The sequence below is a fragment of the Homo sapiens genome, chromosome 16, assembly GCF_000001405.40.
Source record: "Homo sapiens chromosome 16, GRCh38.p14 Primary Assembly".
Lineage (NCBI taxonomy): Eukaryota > Metazoa > Chordata > Mammalia > Primates > Hominidae > Homo > Homo sapiens.
The window spans coordinates 51132726-51156637 of NC_000016.10; the positions used below are offsets into that span (position 1 = coordinate 51132726).

At 48.7% G+C, this 23912-nt stretch overlaps 2 protein-coding genes across 6 annotated transcripts, besides 3 other annotated features; both read right to left on the reverse strand.

Annotated features, from left to right (window-relative positions):
- Window positions 1–1022: 1022 nt before the first annotated feature.
- Window positions 1023–3166, reverse strand: LOC105371253 (uncharacterized). The gene is made up of 2 exons (XM_017023963.3): window positions 2451–3166; window positions 1023–2080 (listed from the first exon to the last, which is right to left on the reverse strand). Exons 1-2 carry the CDS (start codon window positions 2494–2496, stop codon window positions 1476–1478), a joined length of 651 nt encoding a protein of 216 aa, XP_016879452.1. The 5' UTR covers window positions 2497–3166; the 3' UTR covers window positions 1023–1475.
- On the reverse strand, window positions 3257–19609 carry SALL1 (spalt like transcription factor 1). Of its 5 annotated transcripts, none has more exons than XM_047434443.1 (4): window positions 19573–19609; window positions 18441–18533; window positions 5963–9420; window positions 3257–4827 (listed from the first exon to the last, which is right to left on the reverse strand). In XM_047434443.1, the coding sequence occupies exons 2-4, from the start codon at window positions 18514–18516 to the stop codon at window positions 4387–4389; spliced, it is 3975 nt and encodes a 1324-aa protein (XP_047290399.1). In that variant the 5' UTR covers window positions 18517–18533; window positions 19573–19609; the 3' UTR covers window positions 3257–4386. The 5 variants fall into 5 exon arrangements, with proteins under 5 accessions (XP_047290399.1, XP_047290398.1, XP_047290400.1 ...); XM_047434442.1 differs by having other exon boundaries at window positions 19461–19609; XM_047434444.1 differs by lacking the exon at window positions 19573–19609 and adding an exon at window positions 19050–19438.
- Window positions 17742–18242: an enhancer, noted in NCBI's record as "H3K27ac hESC enhancer chr16:51184378-51184878 (GRCh37/hg19 assembly coordinates)". NCBI's record gives its function as "activates a minimal SCP1, AML or CMV promoter by ChIP-STARR-seq in naive H9 embryonic stem cells {active_cell/tissue: H9 hESC(naive)}" and the evidence as "EXISTENCE:reporter gene assay evidence [ECO:0000049][PMID:30033119]".
- Window positions 21898–22887: an enhancer, noted in NCBI's record as "NANOG-H3K4me1 hESC enhancer chr16:51188534-51189523 (GRCh37/hg19 assembly coordinates)". NCBI's record gives its function as "activates a minimal SCP1, AML or CMV promoter by ChIP-STARR-seq in naive H9 embryonic stem cells {active_cell/tissue: H9 hESC(naive)}" and the evidence as "EXISTENCE:reporter gene assay evidence [ECO:0000049][PMID:30033119]".
- Window positions 22888–23876: an enhancer, noted in NCBI's record as "H3K4me1 hESC enhancer chr16:51189524-51190512 (GRCh37/hg19 assembly coordinates)". NCBI's record gives its function as "activates a minimal SCP1, AML or CMV promoter by ChIP-STARR-seq in primed H9 embryonic stem cells {active_cell/tissue: H9 hESC(primed)}" and the evidence as "EXISTENCE:reporter gene assay evidence [ECO:0000049][PMID:30033119]".

The window sequence follows — 23912 nt, forward strand, 5'->3', positions numbered from 1 at the left end:
CCTAATTCCTGTCTTATCCGTCTCTACTTTTCTGTGAATCTCAGATTGCGCTTTACTGTGGAGCCCTTTGAAATTCACTTTATACTTTTTTCCACTTTGTTACCCACTCTGACATTTGTTTCATTTGGGATGGAGTGTGTAACTCCTAGCAAATAATCCATTGCTTTATTTTTCTAACAGGACTGCTAAGTTTTAACAGAGTAGGAGCTTTTTTTTTTTTTTTTGCTCTCTCATTCTTGACATTCACGACATGCCAAAAACAATAAGCAAATAATCTACTGCTAGAAATTTATGTCAACTGCAAATCATTAAGAATTTTCTGTTTGAAGACATTTTTTTCTTGTAATTAAAAAAAAAAAATGCCCTCCCTCCACTCCCTAAAAAGCCATTTGAATAGACCTGGCCTGTGAAGATTGGGATGTAAAAACTCAAAGCGCAAAGCCAGCTTCAGGTATCTCCAGCTGATCTGCAGGACCCCTCCCTTACGCTACCCACCCTTCCCCAACCCAGACCGGGGGTGGGGGTGGGGGGGGAGGGAGGGAGGGAGGGGTCATCTCGAGCAGCTTGGGTTTGTCATTGGTTCTCTCTCTCTTTTTTTCCCCTCCCCAGGTCCCTGTCAATCACCAAACTGCTCTTCCAAGTATATTTTCCAGGAAGAAGGAAGCCCGTGGCGGGGGGGTGGGTGGAAAAGGGAGGGTAGTGGAGATGACGGGAGAAGGAAGAAAGAAAAAGCACGACGGAATATAAGGAAGGAAAGATAGAGAGAATGAGAGAATGACAGCTACCCAGGCAGAGAGGAAGAACAGGAAACGCAGTTCCTGGGGAGGGGTGGGGGGAACAAAAACAACAAAAAACCTCGAATAAACTACAAATTCCTAACGTTTGTAAATTTTGAGTGATAGACACAAAGCGTTTCTTAAATTCTTCTCTGGGCTGTTCTGTATTTTTACAATTCCCCCCTTTTTAAAAAAAAAAGCTGGGGAAACTGTCACCAAAGTGAATATTTTTAGCTAAACAATTCTGTGAACTTAGTTGCAGCAACAATCCTTCCTTAATTCAGTGAATTCGGTTCTCGGTGATTTCAATACCACCACGAGGCACCTCTAGTGAGGCGTAGCGGGGCAAGGGTCGGGGAGTAGGTGAGGAGGGGGTGCGCGCCCGTCAGCTGCCTTCACCTCAACCCTGTTGCTTTGTAAATGTAAATCCAGTTCTGTTCTGCGGGCCGAGCCCAAAGGCTGAGTGTATTTTTCACACTGGGAGGAGAAGCAGGGCAGAGGGCGATTTCTTATTTTGGAAATGGATGGAAAGGGGAATGAATGGGCAGGTAATAATCAATAGATTAGAAAGATAGTCAATCAATAAATGGATAGGCAGGGACAAAAGGAGACACAGAGAGAGAAAAAGAGAGAGAGAGAGAGAGAGGAGGGGGTTGGAGAGAAAGAGACGGAGAGACAGAGAGACCCTCTGACCTTTTCCTAAACTCTTCTGATGGCTCCGGAAAGAGAAGTGACTTTTGCTCCCCTTAACTCACTTTCAGAAACCGCTGGAAGGTGGGAGGTTAGTGATGAGAGGGAAAGGGAACACAGCGCCCCCGCTCCCCTCTCCCCACTGCCTGCCTCTTGGAAATGGACGCGCAGCCCAAGGTGGTGCAGGGCGGTGACCTTCGCGCCCGGCCCGGAGTGCGGGAGCCCCGGGGACTTGGCGGCGGCGGCCATTGGAGAGCGGGGTCCAGCTGCTGGCAGACGCTCGGTGGAAAGTGTCGCGGCGCAGCCCCTGGACACCTTTGGAGAGGGCCGGCGAGGCGCCGGGCATGTGCGGCAGGGTGGCGCTGTCGAAGCCTGCCCCTCTCGGTGGGCGGCAGCCCCCCGGATCACTTCCCTCAGATGTCCCCAGGCCCTGTCCCTGGGCGTAAAGGGCGCGCAGCCCGGGGCAGCCCCTCCTCGCCACGCCCAGCGATGGGAAGTTGTGGACGTCGTCTGTGCAACGGAAACAGCTCCATCTGGCCCGCGCAGAACCAGAGTTCTGGCTGGAACTCCGGCCTTCAATCCGTGTCCCCACTCTTGGGGAAAAAATGTCACTCCTGGAGCGGAGGGGACGGGACAGGAGAGAGGAGAGCGAGAAATCTGTCCCTCTAAATGTTCGGGTGCCAAGCCTTCGGGGTGATTCTCAGCATCAATCACGACGTCGCGCAACCCTCTCCCCTGCCCCCCCCGCCGCCCTCTCTGGCTTTGGGGGCTCCCACCCCCTCCCCTGAACTCTCCCGGCCCAGGTCAGCGCCCACCTTCTGGAACGCCGGACCCGGACCCGGACCCGGACCCGGAGGCCGAGCAGGGGTTGAGGGCGCCCCCTCGGCACAGAGTCTAACGACAGGGTCGGGGGAGTGCGGACCCGAGTGGCCCGCGCCCTGGTGGAAACTTCTGCAGGAAGCGGCCCGACGCTTTCTACCTTACCTGGGCACAACCGCCGGATGCGCGGTTCACCAGCTCCCTGAAACATTAAAAAAAAAAAAAAAATCGGCGACCCCTCTGGACACAGCTTCCCTTCAGTCCGTTTGCTCACCTCAAAACAGTGCTCAGGAGGAAGAAAGCCTGTTCCCCCCTCCGCCCCAGAACAACAGGGAGAGGGGAAGAATCCATTTGAATTTGCTTGATGAAATATTCAAGCTGACTCTACATAACCTTTCTAATAGACTTTTTCTTTCAAATATGCATGTGCGTTTAAATGCCTAAAAGACCAATTAAATAAAGAACATGTTGACCTCTCTGGGTTGAGGCCCAGTTTAAGTCAGATTATATAACCCCGCAGCATCAGGAACTCCCCAGCAATGTGGCTCTCAGCTGCCTGAAAAAACGTGACTGCATTAAGTGAAATAAAACCAGAATAGTAAAAGTGAAATCTAAATCGGCATAAATATCTTGCTTAAAAGAAACTTACCTGTTGGGTTAAAACCTCCAACAACATCTTTTTATGTCATTTCGTTGTTTTGCTTTTCTTGGGGGTGGGGTGGGTAGCGAGTGGAGTCTATAAAATCCATTCCTAAATAAATCATAGATACTGGGAAAATATCTAGGGCCTCCAAATTTCAAAATAAAAGAAAACGCAGGCCCATGCAAAGCCGTTTGTTATGCCTTTTACAATTCCTCATTTAAAGAGGGATACACACTCACATACACAATTGACTGCTGCCTGGGGAAATGTTAAAACGCATTTGGGGCCTGGCTAAATGGAAATGCACTCTAAAAACACAGACACAGTATTTTGTTTTATCTGTTGCAAAAAAAATGTATTTGATTACTTGAGTAAAATTACAGTATCTCTGTTGTTAGTAAGTATTAAATGTTAAAGAAATTGGACCCCCCCTTTCCTTTCAACTTTCCAAGAAAGTGCATGTAACAGTCCAATTTTTTTCTTCCATACCTAAGACAAAATAAACAAACACTATACCTGCTCTCTTGATCAAGAAGAAGCATTTGCTCTTGTAAGGAACATATGTACATTTGAATGAAAGTGATATTTCTTATTGTATATACAAGAGCATCTACATTTTCTCCACTGAAGGTTGTTCAAGATGCTATACTTAGCAGCATTGTGAAATTCCAGCACACATTTTCTATCGTGAATATACCTACAAGGCAAAATGTTACGTCTCAGTTTCAACTACCAAAACAACGCTTGTTTTCTTTTTCTCTAAAGAATTCTGCGTGCTTATTACTGTACAGAAACTTATTAACATTGAAGACGACTCAAGTAAAAAGCACAATACAAATAGCAGTTCAAAATGGAAATGGTTAAATCGACAAAAAAAAAGGTTGAATTTTAGAATAAAAATTAAAAAACCAAACCTTTCAAAGAACCACACTGTTCAGTCTGTACTTTCAGTCCTTTCCTTAAATCTGTTTTGAAAGATTAGACAATGTGTTTGCTGATAAAATTTTCCAGCAGGATCAAAGTGTACATGTATATACAGACTTTATTAGAGATCTAATGCATCACTGAGGCATTGCATCAACACCAGATTCATATTAAACTGGATATAGAAAATAAGTTAATGCCAGATTACAACTGCCTAGCAGGGCAACTTGCAATTGCCATAAATGTTACAGCAAGTTTACAGCACTCTAGTCAATTAGTATTTAGTCCAAAATACAGAAGACCAAAGTTAACGCTTGCATTCTGTTTGCAAAGCAAGGTTATATCGCTAATAAATAAGCTTTCTTAGAACTCTAAAGTTGAACAAGGTACAAAAGAATGTCTTCATAATGTTGTAGTTCATAGATCTGGGGAACAGAAGGAAGGGGCGGGGCGGGGTGGGGGGCAAGGAGTAGGAGGCCACCATAGGTCGCATTCTGAACAGGAATGAATGCTATGTCTCCAGCCCGAGCTGCTTTAACTCGTGACGATCTCCTTGCTGTCCTCCACGAAGCGGGTGAAGCGGAAGTTGGTTCCGTTCTCACTGCTTGCCATTTTCTCCAGGCCGGCCAGGGGAGCATTGGGCTCTGAGTTCTGGAGCCTCTCCAGGTTTCCCGTCAGCCCACTAACAGGTGAGCTGTTCCCACTGCCGAGGCTTCCAGGAATTGGAGGGATGCCACCGTTCTGAATGACGGAGATCTCGTTGGCCTTCATCGCCAGCCCGTTGGAGAGCGCTGCTGCATACTGATTCCAGAAGCTGGAAGGATCCCCACTTCCTGATCTTGCCGCCAAATCCTTCTGGAACATTTCTGGGAACTTGACGGGATTGCCTCCTAGAAATGTCATGGGGCCATCCACAGAGAGCCGCCGACCCCGTCGTGCAGGGGTGCTATTCCACATGTGAGTGCCCATGTGTACCTGAGATATGGGGAGGGCAGGCAGAGAGACAGAGAGAGAGAGAGAAAAAAAAGAGGAGGGGGAGAGAAGCTTAATAGCTGAATCTGTCTCAACTCATATCCCAAATGTCCACAAAGCAAGTGGCCTAAATGTCTATTCTCATCATGTGACAGACAGTGAAGGCAACAGGAACCATCCATTCCTCCTGTCTAGTAATAACGTGTTCACTCTCTGCAGCCCTGGGCTGTCTCCCCTCTTCCAAGGCAAGGATGCCTTACTTACTCTTTTTTTATTAACCATATTTAGCTTATAATGGCCTCAAGCAAGCCAGGCAGTGGCGGATAGCTCCTTTCAGGGTTAGAATTGTTAGGTCCACTCTCATTGCAATGGTAAGTATTGTATCTGACACCCTTTACCCTATAAATGTCCTTTTCAGATGGGGAGAAGGTATCCCTCCCTGATTGCCCATTGGAGGGCCTGCGTATGGAGAGAAAAGCCAGAAAGTAATTATTCATCTCACATTACTGGGAGCAATCTCCAGAGAAATACTCTGTCAACAGAAAAATGTACACACTAAGAGCACTCAACTGTTGCTCTAGAACTTAAGCATATTTGCTTTATTTCCAACACATATCAGTAGGAAATGCTGTATAATCAATTATCATAATACCCATTAGCAGAGCAGTGACGTTATTGTTTTTAGACAAACAAACCATGCTGGACTGCATAGTTATGAAAAATAGATACATACGCCGAGAACCCTAATTATTAAGTGATACGGGCAGCACACAGGCCACGTGGAGGTCTTTAATCAATACCCCATGGCAACGCTAGGCTTTCTTGGTAGGTAAAGCAATTCATTTGGTGCACTTAGCGAGACAACAGAGAGAGGCCGCTGCTTCGCTTAGGTACCAAATTATTCAATGTGCACTGACATTCAGTGAGCTGCAGCTTGCCCTTGTCCCTGCCATGATCCTGACCCTCCCAGGCACCCTCTCCCCCATTTCTCCCCCGTCAACCATGTGCAGCAGGTTCCCTTGCAAGAGCTCTCTCCCTGAATATCTGGGCTGATGACTCTGGGGGCATGCATTATAGATAATCAATGGCAGTGGGACAGGGTTGATGGAGCAGGTATGGTGCAGAGAGAGCAAGGTACCTTAAGATTGCCTTTAGTCGTGAAAGCTCTTCCACAAATAGTGCAAGCAAAGGGTTTCTCTCCAGTGTGAGTTCTCTCGTGAATCTGCAGGGCACTCGATGAGGAGAAGGTTTTGCCACATGTGTTGCAGTAGTGCTGCTTGGGAGTTCTCCTGGGCAGAGCAGGGAGCAGAACTGGGGATGTGGCAGAGGAAGACAGAGGCCCAGACGGGACGTGACTGGTGGGGGTGTCCTTACTGTCCTGAGGAGAAACATGCACGAAGCCGTTGACCTCTGTCTTGATGAGAGATGACAACGAGTTGGCGGGAATCACCGCTGAGTTCTGATTGGGGCCAAGGTTGGAACTGGGCTCAAAGAGCTGGGATGGCAGATCTCGCATCTGATGTGTCAACATGTGCTGCTTCAAATTACCCTTTGTGGAAAAGCCACGATTGCAAACTGTGCAAATAAATGGTCTCTCTTTGGTATGACTTCTATAGTGAATGTCCAAGGCACTCTGACAAGCAAATGTTTTGCCACAAATGTCACAAGCAGTGTTTTTAAATTTACCCCGGTCTCTAAAAGGGAAGAGGATCCCCAAAGAATCTTCTTTGATGATTTTCTCTGCGTGACTAGATGTCAAATCCAAAGCCCCACCATTCACTGGGGTGGGAGACAAACCATTGGCAAACTCGCTTGGGACCGCTCTCTGTGGTTTCTCCTCAATGCTGGGTGACTTGTGGAACTCCTGCGTGCTGTTGGACGGGGACAGAGCCTGCATGGAAGAGGTAGACTCTGAGATGGCTGGGCTGCCAGCACTTTGGCTTTCCATGTCACCACCCACTGAGGATGAATCATTGGTCAGGACATCCCCCTCGATGGACCCATTCTCCACTGACTTCAGGCTGGCCTGTAGCTGCTCTGCCAGGCCAGCATTGATCATCTTCATCTGATTTTCCAAAGCAGCGATGCTCGACATCTCGAGGGGCAAAGGCGAAGAGGATAAGCTGTCTTGGGAGGCGTCTGCAGACTTAGGTGTATCAGGGATGCTGCCCTCAGGACAGTCTTCCATGTTTTCATCAGAGAAGTTGTCTAGGTCATCAAAATTTTTCTCATCAAAGGAACCTGTGTCAGACTCCATGGACTCAGAGTAGCTGTCGGGGACTGGGGTGTTGGGGATCTGGCCTCCCATATGCATTCGGATGTGCTGCTGCAGGACCACAGCGTTCGTGAACTTCTTCTGGCAGATGGGGCAGGAATGCTGGACTCTGAGCGGGGGCATAGCACGATGGACACTGTAGTGGGTTTTAAGATTCCCTTTCGTGGTGAAAGCCCGGCCACAGATCTTACACTTAAAGGGCCTCTCCCCAGTGTGTGTCCTGTAGTGCATTTTCAAGGCGCTCTGGCAGCTGAGAACCCGGTGGCAGATGATGCACTCATTGGGGTCAGTGGCCTTCTTGTCAATGTTTTCTACCAGTTGCTGAAGCTTGGACGTCTCTGATGCCTGAGCTGAGTCCAGGAGTCCCCCAAAAGGAAACTTGGCCTTGAACTGCTCGGACATGAGCGGCAACAAAGGGTTGGTGAAGGTGGTGGCACTGCCCGCGGGGCCGCAGTCTGCCGCTGGGGAGCTCAGGACGCTACTGCTCGCCGTCGGGACTGAGTTGGTGACCATGCCACTCTCTTCGCTTTTGCCACCAGAGGGTGGCAGAGTGGACCCTTCGGCTTCCTCTGGGAGCCCACCTAGGTTTCTTGTGGCTGACTCAGGGCCCCCGGAGTCACTTTTGACTGAGCCTGGGGGGCTGGTGGCAGAATGGCTGATGGGGATGGGGGCTGGCTCTTCCGTCTTGATGAAGGGTATGAGGCTTGGGAGGGTTGGGGGCAACGGCAGGCCGACTGAAGTGGTCAGAGTAGGCAGGACTGGTTTGGTGTCTAGCCAGCTGGTGACTGGCTTCTCTGGAGGGATGGACATGCCATATGGGATGCCAGTACTCGTGGGGATATTGTCCAAATGCTCAGGCACAGGATAGGGGTTCATCTGGATATGAGGGTATTTCTCTTTGTGGCGCTGAAAGTGGACTTTCAGATTCCCCTTGGTGGAGAACCTGTTCCCGCAGATGTTGCACTTGAATGGCCTCTCTCCGGTATGGGAACGCAAGTGGATCTGCAAGGCACTGTCACTCCCAAAGACCTTCGCGCAGAACCTGCACTTGTGTTTGAAGAATGCCTCATCGGAAGTACTTTTCGCTTCAAAGGCAGTGACATTTGGTGGCTTGCTTTTTCTTTGCTGGGCCAAGGCAGACAAGGAGTTTAAATCCTCTGCAGTTGTTCCGATGTTGGGCAAAGGGCTGGGGAAAACCGAGTTAGCGGAGGCTTGCTGAGGTAGAAGTGGATTAGACGCAGGACTTAATAAACTGCTTATTGCAAAAGCTGGTGAGGACGATGATGAGACCGCTGGGTTGCTGACATGGGAGGCCCCAGCACTTGAAGCCACTTTTTCAGAGGACGGGGTGGTAACTGCCGCTGCCAATATGTTCATATTGGGAGAAGAGCCGCTGTTGGATGGAATGATGGTGTTGCCAGAACTGCTCTGAGGTAGCTGGATTGGGGGTAGCTGTTTCACACCACTAATGCTGGCAGATTGGCTGGCGAGGCTCTGTGCCAATCCAGCTGCTGCTGCCAGCTGCTGAGATAAATGGGAACTTAGCGTGGACAAGGGGTTGGCAGATGTTCGTAAAGTACCTTGAGAAGGACTAGAAGATGTTGGCAAGTCTGCATTCTGAGAAGCCAACAGCAATATTTGGTGACGAATCTGTTCGATCAATTGCAGCTGGTGGATCTGCTGCTGCTGCAGAGCTAGGAGTTGTTCCATGAGGGCTGGGACGGCCAGCTTGCCCCCAGAGGCCCCGCCGCACCTCGCTTCCTGGGAGAACTGGGCCACCGCCACCTTGGTGCTCTGGAGGTTCTCGATGATGACGTTGCTGTTGATTACGGAGAAGTTGCCCAGTGTTGTCAGGTCCCCGAGTTGAGGTAGAGAGGTTGTGATCGCTGAGGTACCTGTGGAGGAGCTGCCGCCGCCGCCGCTGCTGCTGCTGCTGCTGCTGCTGCTGCTTGGGGCGGTACTGCTGTGGCTGCCGCTGGAAGTGCCGCTGCCGCTTTTGTTAGCAACCGGGGCCTCCACCTCCATGGACTCTTCCCTGTCAAGTCCGTTGTGTTCTGAAAGGTCGCTGCAGTCCACTTGATCTGTTTTGTTAACTGTGTCATTCATTTGTTCATCAGGATTATCAGGAGGGGGGCTGGGGGAGAAGGTTTCGGGTGGGGAGGCTGGATTTTCATTTACGATTAAAACTAATTGATTTTTAGTACAGTTCTTCTTGTGGAGCAGAAGATCTGATAATTCAAAGAACTCGGCACAGCACCGGCCACAGACGTGGGCATCCTTGCTCTTAGTAGGGCGACTCGGTTGACCCTTTTCTGTGTCTCCTACAAATGTCAAAAAGGTGCAGGATTAGAAAAGGGGCCAGGACACACAGTCACCTATGACTTAAAAAAAAAAAGGCTAATCAATGGTTTTCCACCTGCAAAACTCAAAACTGTAGCCCTTGAAAACCAATCAATATTACCTAAGAACATCCATAATTAATTTGTAAGGGTATGGAGGAATTCCTATCCATCCGGTATTTCAGAGAGTCATGGCCTTCATATAATTCATCAAAATATAAAATACTACAAATGGGAGACATTGGTGCATGATGAAATTCCATAGCAAAATATTGATTTCCAATCTTTTATACACCTTATTGTCTACTTGTCCGGAGAGGGTCCACAAACCATTCTGAGGACTTATTAGGCTCTTGAGTTTCTGTCAACCTTATTCATTTTCAACCGACTCAAAGATATCTGTGACAGTTTGTTCTGTCACTAAACTAATTTGTAGTCATTCAGGTTCCAATCAGTTGTTGACAAGGGGGAAAAAAATGCATATCACCAAGCTGTAGACTGACAACTTGAAAATCACCTCAAGCCCCTACCTCGAACCTGCGCTAAGTCTGATCCCTGACAAACGCACTTTAGTCACATCAGTAACAAATCCTCCAGACCGTTCCTCAAAACTCACTTGAACACAAAGGGATGGCAACACACACAATGAAGAGAAACACAATGATCCTAATCCATTACAAGGCTTGCCTGGCACCTATATATCACCCCATGGCATGTTTATTTTTAAAATTAAAGATGTAACTCCGGCTACCATTCCACTAATCAAAGAATATATGCCACCATGCTCCGAATGGCAACATTATGCCTCTAAATATTTCATCAAAAGTGCTCTCTATGTCTATAAAAACTGGCACAAGATTTACATTTCTGATTAAACATCAACTTCAAGAAGGATGTGCAGTTGAGAAGTGCTCCCATCTCCTAAGAAATAATTCTTGGTTTAGAGTTTGAAAATGCTTTGCAGCTCTCCTTGTCTGAATGCCTTTAAAAACAGTTTGCTCTTAACTGTTATCAATCGTTTAACAGATTGTCCTGAACATTTTATTATAAAAATCCCTTTATTTCATGTTTGTTTCCATTGGTTGCTCAGATGTCTTCTCACTAAGATCCATTTGTAAATTAAACAGAAAAATCTCTAACTCCAAGCTAACATCCTATTCAAAGACAGGATGGCTTCCCATTGTTTGCCCAGCATGGGGAACACCAACTTCTGTTGTACAAATGGTGTGTGGTCATCTACGAAGGCTGTGAAGAAAAAAAAAAAACTGTTTAATTCAAGGATTACCTCCCTGCATGCTTTTCTGCAGAACTGAATCAGATAATAGGTAGTTTCCATGACTTCCAAATTGAATCTCCCAGAAAACTTGCAGAAAACAAAGTAATTGCAGATATGAATAAATGTAAAATCAAAATGCTGCTTTTTTCAGTAAACTTAAAAGTCCGTTGGAAAGGGTCAGCTGTTTGCTTTTTTGTAGTAAACATTTTTAAAAACTTGACTAGTTTTGCATTCCAGAAAATAAAATTAATACCTAAATACTAACTTCTGGAAATTCCTTAACTCTATTTGCCTTGAGTGATGCCGAAGTTGATTAGAATCCCTGGTGAAGTATGCCAAACGTACGCACACTTTATTCACTGGGAGTGTTATTTGAGTAGCTAAGTTATACTTAACAAGCTAGCTTTCCTAATACCCATCTTTTAATCTCCACAAGGGCATAGTGCAAGATGCATTAACACCACCAAACAAATCTTAGTTGCAGCAGAAAATACCAATAATGATTTGGTTTTAATTTAATGTTTAAGCATTCTAATTGGCACTGGATTCCTATGCACATGGAAGGTGCTGTTTTAAGCCCTTTCTGCTTCTCCCCTGCCTTAAAATCATATAAACAAAATATTAGATGAAATTTGCTGAAGTTATATTGCTTAACTTGGGACAAAAATAATGTGACAAAAATTCTCTTTAAAGCTTCTTATTTTGACAATCAATTTTAAATGATGCATCCATTTCAGATGCTTATTTTAAACTAGGAAATGCAATTCCTAATATATTCAACAGAAATGTTATTTCTTTCTCTTTGCACATTTCCATATGTAATGGTTATGTTTCCATCTACTTTTACAGCCAATTATGAAGGAACAAAAGCTATTCTGTTTGTTCACACATTTTCAACAAAATGCATTAAAACTATTATGTCAGCATGTTCTATTAAGCTCTGCATTCAGTGGAAAATACTTTTCAACCAGCTCACATTTATCAAAACATAAAGCCACTTTAAAACACAGTTTTGCTTGGTCAGCTGGGCTTAGACAAATAATGACAGATTCAGAACTAAATAACTAGCAAGGGAAATCAGAAAACTGACTTCATCAATTGTACACATTACAATGTAGTTGCTTCAAATATTTAGCACATCTGTGCTCACGATTAAAAGAGATTTTAATTCTTTATAACTTGCAAACATCTGATATTCTCATAATATACAGAGAAAATAAAAGGAAGGTTACTTTACAGGATTTAGCTGATTATTACTTTCCTGCACTCAAATTCTGCATTTGTGCTGCCTCGAGACTCACTTGAGAATTTTCAAGTTTTTCAATCTAAACATTTTTATATTTAGGATTGTGCTAACTGGATGGAAAATATAGATGTTTAAAAATAAATGCAAATGCCTGCTTGCTTTTAAGAGACTGTGTTAAAAAGTTGTCCATATTTTAGCTTAGGTTTTCACAACATTTTTAATAAGCTGACATTTGATCTCACTGTAGAGTGAACTAATTTAATTTCCTGATGTTTATGAACACCCCCACATCCCCAAAATACTGGTATCTATTTTGATTTATTTCAAAAGCAGGTGTCGCTACACTGCAATAATTCTTAACTTGAAATCTATCTGCATTCGGAACAAAATTCCAAGGAAACAGTCTTTTACTTAAAAAAAAAAAAAGACAAAACATGAGGACTAGTTGGACTCTTTACCAAAGGGAATATTTTAATTTGTAGTAAGATACACACACACACATACACACACATTCTCTCTCTCACACACACATACACACACACACACACACACACACACGTACACACGAACATGTTATAATTAATTTTTCTGATTGTCTGCTATCTTGTATCTCTCTCAGTAATCTGTTACACAAGATTGCAACTGGTGACCCCATTATAGTAAATACAGTTGCCTTGTTCCTTGTACTATGGTGAAAATAACATTCCTGTTCCTTTTCTATGGATTTTGCATACAGATTATTTTGTAAGCAACCCTAGTCAGATAGCAAAATTTAAGAAGCAGTGGTTTTCTAAGTATGTGCACACAAACAGATATTTGGAATTTTCTGGGCCTTTTGTTGGGGGGGCGGGAAGAGTGATCTTATACCTCCACCAAATTTATACTAAAATCCCAGATGCTTTAGTTCCTGTTGTACTATTTAGGTACCTGATGCCTAATTCAAATTTGTCAGTTTTTCATCATCTGAACCAAACTGCAGAGTCGGAAGCAGAAAATTGAAGTGTTCTACCATATCTGTCTACTGAGAAAATAAAAATAAAACTATGTCCCACACAGAAAGGTTTAGCCAGCCAGGAAGGGAAAAAACAAAACAAAAAACAAATGCAACCACCTTACTCTACTAGGTTTAGTTTTCTTTTTTGGAGCTCTTCAGAAAGACACTTCACTGTACTTCCCATTATCTTAAGATTGCATTTACACTCCCTAATAGAATTTCTCATGATAGTGGTTTAGGAGTCCTTAATTTTAACAGCCTGTTCCTTTTTTTATCACAAACATATTTGATTGATTGGTCTTTTTTTTTTTTTTCTTTTTCTTTTTTTTTTTTTCTGCATCGACCTGGGAAAAGTCTGAATCCAAATGGAAAAGTCTGAATCCAACTTAGGATTCCAAAGAAATTTTAAACACTACGACATATGCTGTGCATATTTTCTGTGATGTCTAAAGTTTCCTCTATGTGATATGCCACCAAATGACAAATTTCCTGGTACCCTTCAAGTTCACTCACTGTTCTGACGGGGATTAGAGTATTCTCTTGTGGAAGAATACAAGTGAAATCTCTGAAAAAATAACAACATGGACGAGGCGTTGCTTTTAAAATAGTGATCCAAGCCCACCTAATGTACACAATAAATGAAAGGGGAAAATGTCTTTCCCATGGATGAATCAAACTGAACACTAGATGGGGTTCCAGTTGCAAGGGTTTGTTCAAAAACTTCTTTGTGGCTTTCCTATTGCAGTGACGCGTAAAAAAGAGACTCCTTAAGGCGAGATCTAAACTTTGACTACATAAACATTGGCAAAGGCACAAGAAACTAAATCCCTGTTGTTTGAGGGTAAAACTGAGCTATGGGAACTACCTGTCAATCTTCCCCTTTGGGGGTCTGGCATCTGAGGGTGACAGGGGAATAAGGTTAGGAAAAGACGCCAAGCTGATAAGGTGAAACTAAAATAAACTACTAACTTCCTGCTAAGTGACTAGCAGGATTCAATTTGGGGGTCACTGGGAAGATACTGAAGGACATATTATGATCTGGACCTTGTCACCTTTGCATGGGAGGAGGCTAGCAAAGGTTAAAACAGCTTGACACATCTAGGTTTTCTAAAGCCTGGCACATAAACTTTTTTCTTTTTTGGGGGGAGGGGTGTTAGTTCTTTGGTTAACTTTCCACCTCTTTTGCCAAACTACTTCAGTTTTAATAATCTAAGAATATTTTTGGAATATTCTGGTGCTATCTGCACCAAGAAGTGTCTCAGAAAAACCTAGTTGAGGTTGTAGAAGGAGTTTATTCTAGTTCCTACACAGAGCTTGGCTTTTGACAATTTCAAAAACTTAACCAGTCTGCCTATTTCTGCCCCAGTAAGATCTCCACCATAAAAATGTGGAGTTCTACCTTCTAAAAGGTTCTGTTGGTAAAGACAACTTGCTACCTCCAAAAGTATAAAGAAAACAAATAGAGCCCCCAAAGAAGAACCTATACGTTGGCACTTGTGCCAATGAACTCTAGGGGAAATGTGATGTAAAATAAACCACAAAACATTCAGTATCACATATTCACTTTCACACATACTACCCTCATGCCTAACTAGACTTTGCTCATTTATGTGTTTGTTTTTTAATATTTTACAAAGTATGTGTGGCCTGAAGCAAATCACAAAAAAAACAGTTTGCATTTTCTCATTCAGAATCTTCCATTATGACAAACTTAAAACAGCTCTGATTAAACATGAATTCTTTCCAACTGCCTTATCTTGCAGGTGTTGGTTTTTTTTAAAAAAAGCAATTAATTACAGTTCTCGCTAACCTTTTGGGCCCAGAGATCAATGTGTTGCTATGAAGCTGCTCAAAATGAGCAAATTACTTCGGTTAAATAATAGAATTTCATTATTAATATAAATAAGAGGAATTTTTATGATACTTCATATGATTGTTAGTGTTTTATCTGCAATTCATGGTGTTTCATTCTTCCAATATTATCTTTTCCTTGAAAAAACTGAGCACCAAAATACTTTTTAAATAAATGAATGGAGTCTAAATGGGCCATCCATGTAGAAGTTACAGGAATCTTAAAAACGCCACCAAAGGAAGAACTCCAACACACACACACACACACACACACACACATGCACACATGCACTTACGCACACAAAACACATAACTGAAATCCCAATTTGTAGTAAAGAGCCCACATATAAAATCATTAGATTGTAATATTCCCTTTCCTCAGAATTATTTAACTTGATAAACAGTCTTTCCAGTAGCAGTCATCTTTCTGCAAGTAATTCAAGACTTGTTGAATATCATTTAGGAGACAAGTCATATTTGCCATAATCTTGGTTTCATAAGAAGCAGAAAAATTACCAAGTTTAGAGTGTTTCTGGCATAGCAGCTGTACACTAAAGTAAAATAAAATACCAGCATCCTGAAATCGACCAAATACTCATTTTTGTTTTTGTTTTTGTATTTTGTTTGCATTTGCTTCAGATGAAGCTGTCTGTGTGGCTCCTTAGCATGGTCTGGATTTTCTTTGTAAGCACACACACACTCAAACACACACAGGCAGGACACACAACACCAAGCAGCCCTAGCTGCTTTCAGCTTTGGGAGCTGCTTCTTTAGGGCTCCTGTAACTTAGGTCTACAAACTTTTCTAGGTCTCACTCTGGGTAGAAGTCATACAATCTGAGGTGCTGATAAATGAGAAGTGCATGAACTAGATTTAATTTGGTATGTTTCATATTTCATTTGTCATATTTCAAAGACCATCTCAAGACATAAGAAAAAGTAATCAGAATGTTTGAAAAGGGGCTTGCCTTCTAAAAATATAACAATGTTTCTTTACGTAAAAAACAAAACAAAACAGAAAATCCAGCTACTCCTAGAAGTATGGGTTATATGTGGGGAGAAGAATGAGATTGCTGAACTCACTGCAGAAAAGGTGACTTTTAAAAGGTAACCTTGAGTTATGTCATGAACTTTCAATGCCATTTATTTCAGAACTACTCCCAAATAAAAGAACTGGAGTATGTTAGGCCCTCCTGTATGTCCAGCGTTGGGGGAGGATTACTTGTGTACTAATATTATTACAACACACTAAATCCTGAAACCCTATTACAAAATCTACCCTCTAGGCAACTTCTCCCAAACTTATTGTTCAACCATGTAAAAACAGTCATAACCTAAAACCATTACTACTGAAGAAAAAGAGGAGGGGGTGGGGAGAGGTGAGGAAAGAAGGCTGGGAGGGGGTGTTTCCTAGGGAGCCCCTAACAGTTTACTGCTTCTTTAGGACAATGTACCAGCTTTTGCGAAGAAAAAAGAAAGGAAGGAAGAGAAAGAAATCAAAAGAAGGAGAGAAAAGAGAAAGAAAGGAAACTTGATTGAGTTACTTAACTTACCTCAAAGCTCAAATAAACTAAATTGAAAAAAATAGTACTAATAAAGAATAATGGTAAGAGGTAGTGAACTCCTTTTATATTATTGCTTTATGAGAAGACTTAACTATTAAAAATTCCTGATACTGAAGGCAAAAGGCAAAGATCTTCCACGCATCATTTCTCCTCGAAGGCCGAGACTTTTTTTTTTTAAATGTAGAAAACCAGTACAAATTTACAAAACACACTATATAATGCTCTCTTATCTCTAGTTTGCTTTTTTGTGTACAAACTGTTAACCTGAACAGTTTTCCGGTGCAAAAGGTCTCACCAGAAACTTTAGGAAAGATGAGTGTGACTGCGGGAAGCAGAAGAAACTAAGCTGAGAAAACCCGGAAAAATACTCGGCGCAGCTGCTGCGGCCTTGGGTCATCTCACCTCCATCTACCCCGCGTGCTCGCTTTCGCTTGGGGTGGAAAGCGGGGTTCAGGGGCTCTTTTCAGCGGACTGAGAAATCGCAGAGGCCGTGGGTAAGGATTCAAGCTTGAGGAAACACTGGGGGCCGGGAGGAGGGCTATTGTAAAGCATTTCTTAATTAATTTCAAGTCCTCCATTTTTTTACAGGGACCCCAAGTCAGGATTCCCCTTTCCCGACATCAGGGGTAAAGGGAGCGGGGGTCCCTTCGCTTCACTGTGCCCCAGCTCTACCGAGAGGCAGGCCTCTGGGAAACGAGCCGGGGACCTGGGGGCCCGGGCGGCCGCAGCTTAGTGGGCTGAGGTGCCGATCAGGGTCACGCTTCGGAGCTCTGTCGGGGCCCAGCTCCCTCCTTCACACCCCAAAATGCCGCCTAGGGCGTGGGCATCCCGAGTGGCATCCGGAGCCGCTGAGACCCCGCCGAGATTGCTCCTTGTGCGTCCTCCCACAGCCGAGAGGCCAGCATCGTGCCGGGACGACCCGGGGACCCGAGTCCGGGCGCCGCTACACCGCCTCGGGCGCTAGGCCTGGGAGCTTTGAGGCCGGTACCGTGAAACACCTTTAGGAGCAAGGAGGGATTCCAGGTGTCCTCCCTTTGTACCCCAACTCCCTGCCCGGATCTCTTCCACTCTCTGCCATAGCCCCCACACACAAACTTTGTTCTGGACTTGTTCAGCCCCTTCGGGACCCACAGTTGTCGCCTCCATCGGAGAAAACAAGTGCCCCTGTTTCAGGGGGGATTCCACTCTGGCTGGCCACCCGCAAACCTGGAAAACTATTCTATGACTTCTTCCCTGACCCCCCTGGAAGTAGGGAGCACCACGATCCGCAGAGGGCGCATACCGACCAGAAAGATTTTGGGGGGCAGAGGGTGCAAGTGTTGTGGGAAGAGATGCGGAGATAAATTTTGCGAGCCAGACCCCGACACTTTCCCCGTCCGTTTGCACCGTCTCCGGAACAACTGGCGGCCAGCAGCACTCTCCACCCCGGCCGCAACCCCAGCGGGTCAGGCGCTGGCGCCCCGACACCAGTCCCCATCTTCTTGCAGCTCTGAACCTCCAAAGACACCCGGTTCTGCCTCGCAGGCCGAGGGGGAGTGTGCGTGGGGGCAGGGGGGCGCAGCGAACTCCCCCACGCTCGGAGTTCAGCCCAGCGCCCGAAGTAAACTTCCTTACCGCTGGCAGCAAGGCCGGGCGGCGGAGGCCGGGCCGGGTGCCCTGGGGCCGGCGCCGGGAGCGCTAGGGGCCCCGTGCGGTCAGGCCGGGGCGACCTCCACCCGCACCCACGCCTCATGGGGCTCCCGGGTCTTGGCCGCGGCTGGGATCCCCGGAAAAGCAGGGACGGAGAAGCCAGGCCGGCATGCCCGCCCTCCTTCCCCCGGGAGGACCCAACAACTCCGGAAAGATCCTGCCGGGAGATGTGCTCGCTTTCCCCGGGGCAGCGGGGGAAAGCCCAGCAAAGGCACATTGAAAATTAAAAAGAAAAAAAAAATTACGCCGAGTGGAAGAAGCAATCGGGGCCGCGGCGGCGGTGAGGTAGGGGGCGCGGGGGCCAGCCGCGTGTGAGTGGGTCCGAGTGTGCGTGAGTGTGAGTGCGTGTGTGTGTGTCCACGGCGCGGGCCGGAGCACTCACCATCTCGCCGGGGGAGCGAGGCCACTTCGGGGTCGGATTGGAAATGTTGAGGCTTCGCTTGCTTCCTCCGCGACATGCTGGCTCAAACATCAGCTGGGGCAGAATAAAAAATTACTAAAAAAAAATCTTCTCAAAATTACGGAAATCGAGCGGCGGCGGCGGCGGCGGCTCCCCCCGCCCGCCGGCCCGCCCGCCCCCTCCCCGGCTCCCCGGCCCCGGGCGCAGCGCGCATGTGTCCTGCTATAATTATGATTATCAATAATGCATTGCGATTAATCATAGAGGGGCTCTTTGAAAGGCGATTGGCACCGGGCCAGCGCTATTCAAACCCGCTCGCCTTAATCAATTAGTTCGTGATTTGCTGCAGACCCCTGTCTCTCCGCGCGCTGGCCCAATAAGCCGGCCGCGGGGCTGGCTCTGCGCGCCGCGCCGCCCGACACTGGGTTAACCCTCTTTGCGACCGCCCGGGACTCCGCGGCCCGGCCGCCGGGGGCCGGCCTCCTCTCCACTGCGGGCCCGGCGCCCCGGCAGGCGCCCCCCGCTCTCTCCCTCTCCCCTCCCTCTTCCCTCCCTCCTTCGCCCCCCCCCACAATCCCGGGCTGGGCCGACCCAAATTAGCATGCCCTCCCCGGAATTGAGCCGCCCCGGGTGGGGGGTGGGGCCGGGCGGCGAGGGCTGGGGACCCGGGCTGCCGGCGCGCTGCGAACTTCCCAACTCGGGGGCGAGGCGCGCCGGCCCGCGGGGGGAGGGAGTCCCGCGGCGGGATCAGGGGGGAGGGCGTCCCGTTTCGTGAGTGTTTCTTCGTTTCTTTAAGAGCTACCAGAAAGCAGCCCACCCCCACCCCCATTAAAAAAAAAAATAAGCGAGTGGGGAAGAGCCAGCCCCACGCCGGTCCGCCTCCCGCCCACGGCTCGGCCTCCCTCCCGCCTGGCTCGGCGCTCCTCCGCCCCGAGTTCTCCATCCCCTGGATCCCGGGCTCGCGGGGGCGCGGAGAAGAGGATCCAGGAAAGGTTTGGGAACCTGATGGGTTTGTGGCTGGGGGGAGGGGCAGTTCTCCCGCCACCCCATCCCCTCCCCGCCAGGGGCACTGATCCTCCAGCTTCTTGCTTGCTCCCTCGCTCCCTTTCTCTACCTCGGACATTCCCAGGACAATTAGGGCTGAAGTTTTCGGGAGAAGCAGCCCCGAGCCCGTGGGATAAGGGGGCGGCCCGGCTCCGCCCAGGACCCCTCCCGGACCTCCCCCCCGGCTGCCCCGGTTGGCTGCAGGGCGCGTCACTCCGCGGGGAGGCGGCGGCAGCGGTGGCGCCGCAGAGCCCCGGGCGGGCGGAGAGCGGGGACCGGCCTGGGCTCCGAGTTCAGCTCCGGCCGGGGGGAGGGGAGGGGCTGCGGCTCACACTGAGCGCAGCAGCGAGCACCGGCCTAGGGAGACACAGCCCGGGCGGACCCGGCACTGGACTGGGCCAGTCCCTGGGACCCCTGGGCACCCCGCCCTGGGGAGGGGGCCGCGCCCCAGCCTTCCGGGACGAGGTGGCGGCGCAGAGCCGGAAAGCGGGGTGGGGGGAGGGCGGTGGGGAGGTGTTCTGTCCGAGGCTGCCTGGCGGCGCCGAAGCTCGCCTCCACTTTTTGGGCACTTGCCGAGCGCGGCGCCCGAACTTTTCGCTCTATCACCATCTCCCTCAAGCTGAGATGCAACCTCCCTACCCTCGCCCCAGAGCCCAGAGCCAGGAGCCCGATCCCTCTGCCGGGCTCAGGCGCCCGCGAACCTGAGACTCGGTACGCGGCTCAGCCTAGCTCTTTCCCCTCGCGCCTCGGGGTCTCCTCGCTCCAAGGTTCTCGAAGTCTTGCGCCCGAAGGACTAAACTAAACTAAACTTCGGCTGAGTAATGGGGGAGGAGGGGGGTGCAGATACACAATCCCTGCCCTATCTCACGATCAGGAAAGGAGAGGGCTCATAAGGACGCCCCAATTCGCGAGCGCCCTTGAGTCTGGCCGGTGCCACGGTCGGTTCGCGCGAAGTGGGCACCGGTCTCCCGAGCCGACTTCGTGTACTCCGGACCTGTACTGCGCTCCGGTAGAGGACCCTTCCCTTTCTCTTAGCTTCTTAAATCTTTTCTTTTAAGGTGTAAATGTGTGTGTGTGCCGATGAATGTTTCTGTTTTTCATCTGCTGACTTTATTTTTTTTTATTGGTATAACTTCTCCCTTCTCTCTCCCTGCTCGTCCGTTTTCCACCTTTTCTCTTACTTATCTTCTGCCCTCGCTCACTCCCTAACACACACATTCACACCCTCTCCGCCTCGCTCTCCCGTTCTCGCCAGGTCCTGATGGGTACAGTAGATTTTGATAAAAAGACAAACGAAGCTATCAGTGGGGCTGATGTTGAAGAATGAAGATAATAATGTTTCCATAGGTGGTGCTTCAAATGCCATTATTTCTCACTGAATATTTAAAGAGATCCCTCGGCAAAGATGGATCTGCGCACTCCTGGGGTGTGAGCGGCTCGCATCTCCCAGACCCCGGGGAACGTGTACGGGAGCACGTGTAAATCCCGCACCCGCCTCCATCTCACAAACAGGGGTCCTCGCACACCCACCAATCCACACTGTCCCAGGTACACGAACGCGTTTGTGTGCACTTGCACACTCCTTTCCCGGAATGTGCCCGTGTTTGGAGCCGCCCGCATCCTTCTCTAACAATCTTGGCTTCTTGAAAGTCCGGGCCTCCCGGGCACCGCATGCAGCCAGGAACCTAGCGGAGCTGGCGGTCCCGCAAAGCTTTTCTCCTGGTGCGCGCCGCGTGCGCAGCAGGAAGCTCCCGGGAATAACTTCACACGTGTTTGTTACTTGGTCTACGTGTGATTTAAGATTAAGTGTAGGAAAAAAAAAAATTCCCCCCCCCCAAAAAAACACCACAACAAACAACCAAACGAAATGAACATGCGAAAAGCAGCTACGCGATGCTTAATTAAAAATGGGCGAGCAGAGACGAATAAATTGGGGGATCCAAACTTTAATAACTTTTTTCGTTTTTTTGCGTCCTCGACGGCGTAGAGGCGGGCGTTTCGATCTGCGCTTGGCGTCCCCCGCTAATTTCTTGTTTGTTTTCTTTCCCTCGGTGGCCCCGGGAAAGGAGATGGGAGGTGGAGGAGGGGGGGATGGGAGGAGGGGGATGGTCGGAATGGCGGGGAGAGGAGAATTGGTCTTTATTGTTGATGGCAATACATCAATTACGGGCCATTGTCTCGGTCCCAAGTTCCGTGGTTCGCTGGTGCGGGCGCTGCAGTGTCAGGGCGCTGGCGAGGCTCCGCGTGCCGCGATGCAAAGAAATACATCAATAAAAACAGAAGCAGAGTGGGGGTTATTCTTTATTTTTGTGCGGGTCGAAAGTAGGCGGCGAGCGGGAGTGAGGTGCCACTCCTGGAGTCCCTCCACGCGCCCTGCTCACCCCAGAGACCTGCGCGCTCTACGTGCGGTAGCACCCTCCTAACTCTGGGTGGAGGTGGGGTGGGGGGGGGACTACTGGGGAATCCGGGTAGCGAAGTTTGGACTTGCAGGTTCCGCCAGAGGGCCTGGTACTTAGGGGCTGATCCGCAATAGCGAATGGGGATAGCCCGAAGTGAGGCGGCAGCTGCGCCGGGGTCGCGACCTCACTGGCGGAGAGGAACCGCACCCGGGGGAGGCGCTTGGCGAGTTTTGCAAACTCCCATCTTGGGGGATTGATGCTCGTTCCTACTAATACGTCCCCTTAGTTTTCCCAAGTCCTAGAGTATCCTTGGTGGGTTGGCGGGGCCGAAGGTCTGTGCCCCAAGGCCGCAGGCCACAACTGGGGTCCCAGCCATGAGGTTTCCAGGCTTCTTTGCTCAACCTCTGGTCCTACGAAGGGCAACGTGGGGGGCGTCAAGGCTCGCGCATTCTGAGGCCTGGTTCTTCTACCCTCAAAAGTATCTTATTCTGGCCCGATCTGACCTCGGGTCTGGGATGGGGCCTGGGATGAGGCCTTGCCTGGGCCCCAGACCCTCTTTTCCGTTCCGTTGACGGTGCTTGGCCACCCTACCCCAGAAATGGAGGACGTCTCCAAGTGCTCTCCCTGCACCCCTGTTTCCTCAGTCCCCAGCTCAAGGCCCCGCTGGCCCCCGGCCGAGGCTAGAAGGGCAGTAGTGGAGGTTTCGTTTTCTTAAGCAAGGCAAAAAGCGGCGAAAAGGCGGCAGCGGCGCCCCGGGGGCGGGGGACGAGGCACATCGATGGTATCAACATTATTGATGGGGAAAAGTTCGGGGCAGGAGCCCGGAGATCAGGTTCCCAGTCCCTCCCCTGCCCGGAGGTGGGTGGGACAGAGCGGGTGGCCAGCTGTGTGTGTGTGTGCATGTGTGTGTGTTGGTGGGGGGGTGTTCCTGAATGCACCCGCATTAACCACCTGGGGTTTATTTGTATTTTCCTTGTCTGAAAGTTTGCGGGGGCAGAGGGAAAAGGAAGGGTTGAGGTGGCTTGTACCCTCTAGCCCTTAGGGCTCTTAACTAGGGTTGGGGTTGGGGTTGGAGTTAGGGTTGGGGGAGGGGTGCGGGGAGAACAGGAAAAAAATGACAGAAAAAAAGATCAAGTTTGGAAAGCTCTCCGTAGATTCGGTTATTTTTCCAAACCCCGGGACCTTGCTTCCCCGGGAGTTTCAGAAACTCCTTTCCTACTGAACTGCTGTCACTCAATCCTAACCTCTCTTAGAACACTGGAGCGGCTTCGAACCCGAAGTATGGAGCAGGCTTGGGTGGGTACCTCGCCCCTGGCCAAGTCTACACTGTGCGCCCTCGGCGCACTCGCTCTCCAGCAGTTCAATACCAGCAGCAAAACGCAGGTTTTTGGGGGAACTCCCGCCGCCCGCCACCAAGGGCTATCTCCAGACGGGCGCCGGGTGCAGCGCCGTGACCGGGCGCCCTGGCGCCGGCTCGGGCGCGAAATTCAGCGGTGGCAAGCGGAGGGTGGGCTTGGTAACCACCCGCGCGCGCCCGAGCCAAGAGTCGCGTACTGTCTGCCCGCGGCAAAGTTCGTCTTTCTCCGCTTGGAGGGCTGTTCCTACACCGGTATTAAGAAACCGACTTCGCTAGCGACTGCAAGTGCTTGCGATTTTGACTTTCCGTCCACAGTTGAGCGTCTTGCACTTAAATTCACTGCGCCCCGCATGCAACAGTGCCTCGCCAAGGGGCCTCTGGGTATGAAATTCCTCCCAGAGGAAATGTCCCGACGTAGAGAAAGTGGAAAAGGCTAATCGAATTTATAAAAAGAAAATCTTTCCTCCTTTTGGTTAAATCCCTTTGCGGTTTTCTGAGCGCGAAAAAAAAATTATCACCATGTAATAGAGTGTAGCTAATTCTTAGAACCTAGTAGTAGGATGTTCAGGAAGCCCAGCAGGACGCACAGATTCCCATCTGCCGCTCCAGTAGGACCTTAGTTAGGATCCAGCGAATAGTGGTTAGTTCCTGTGT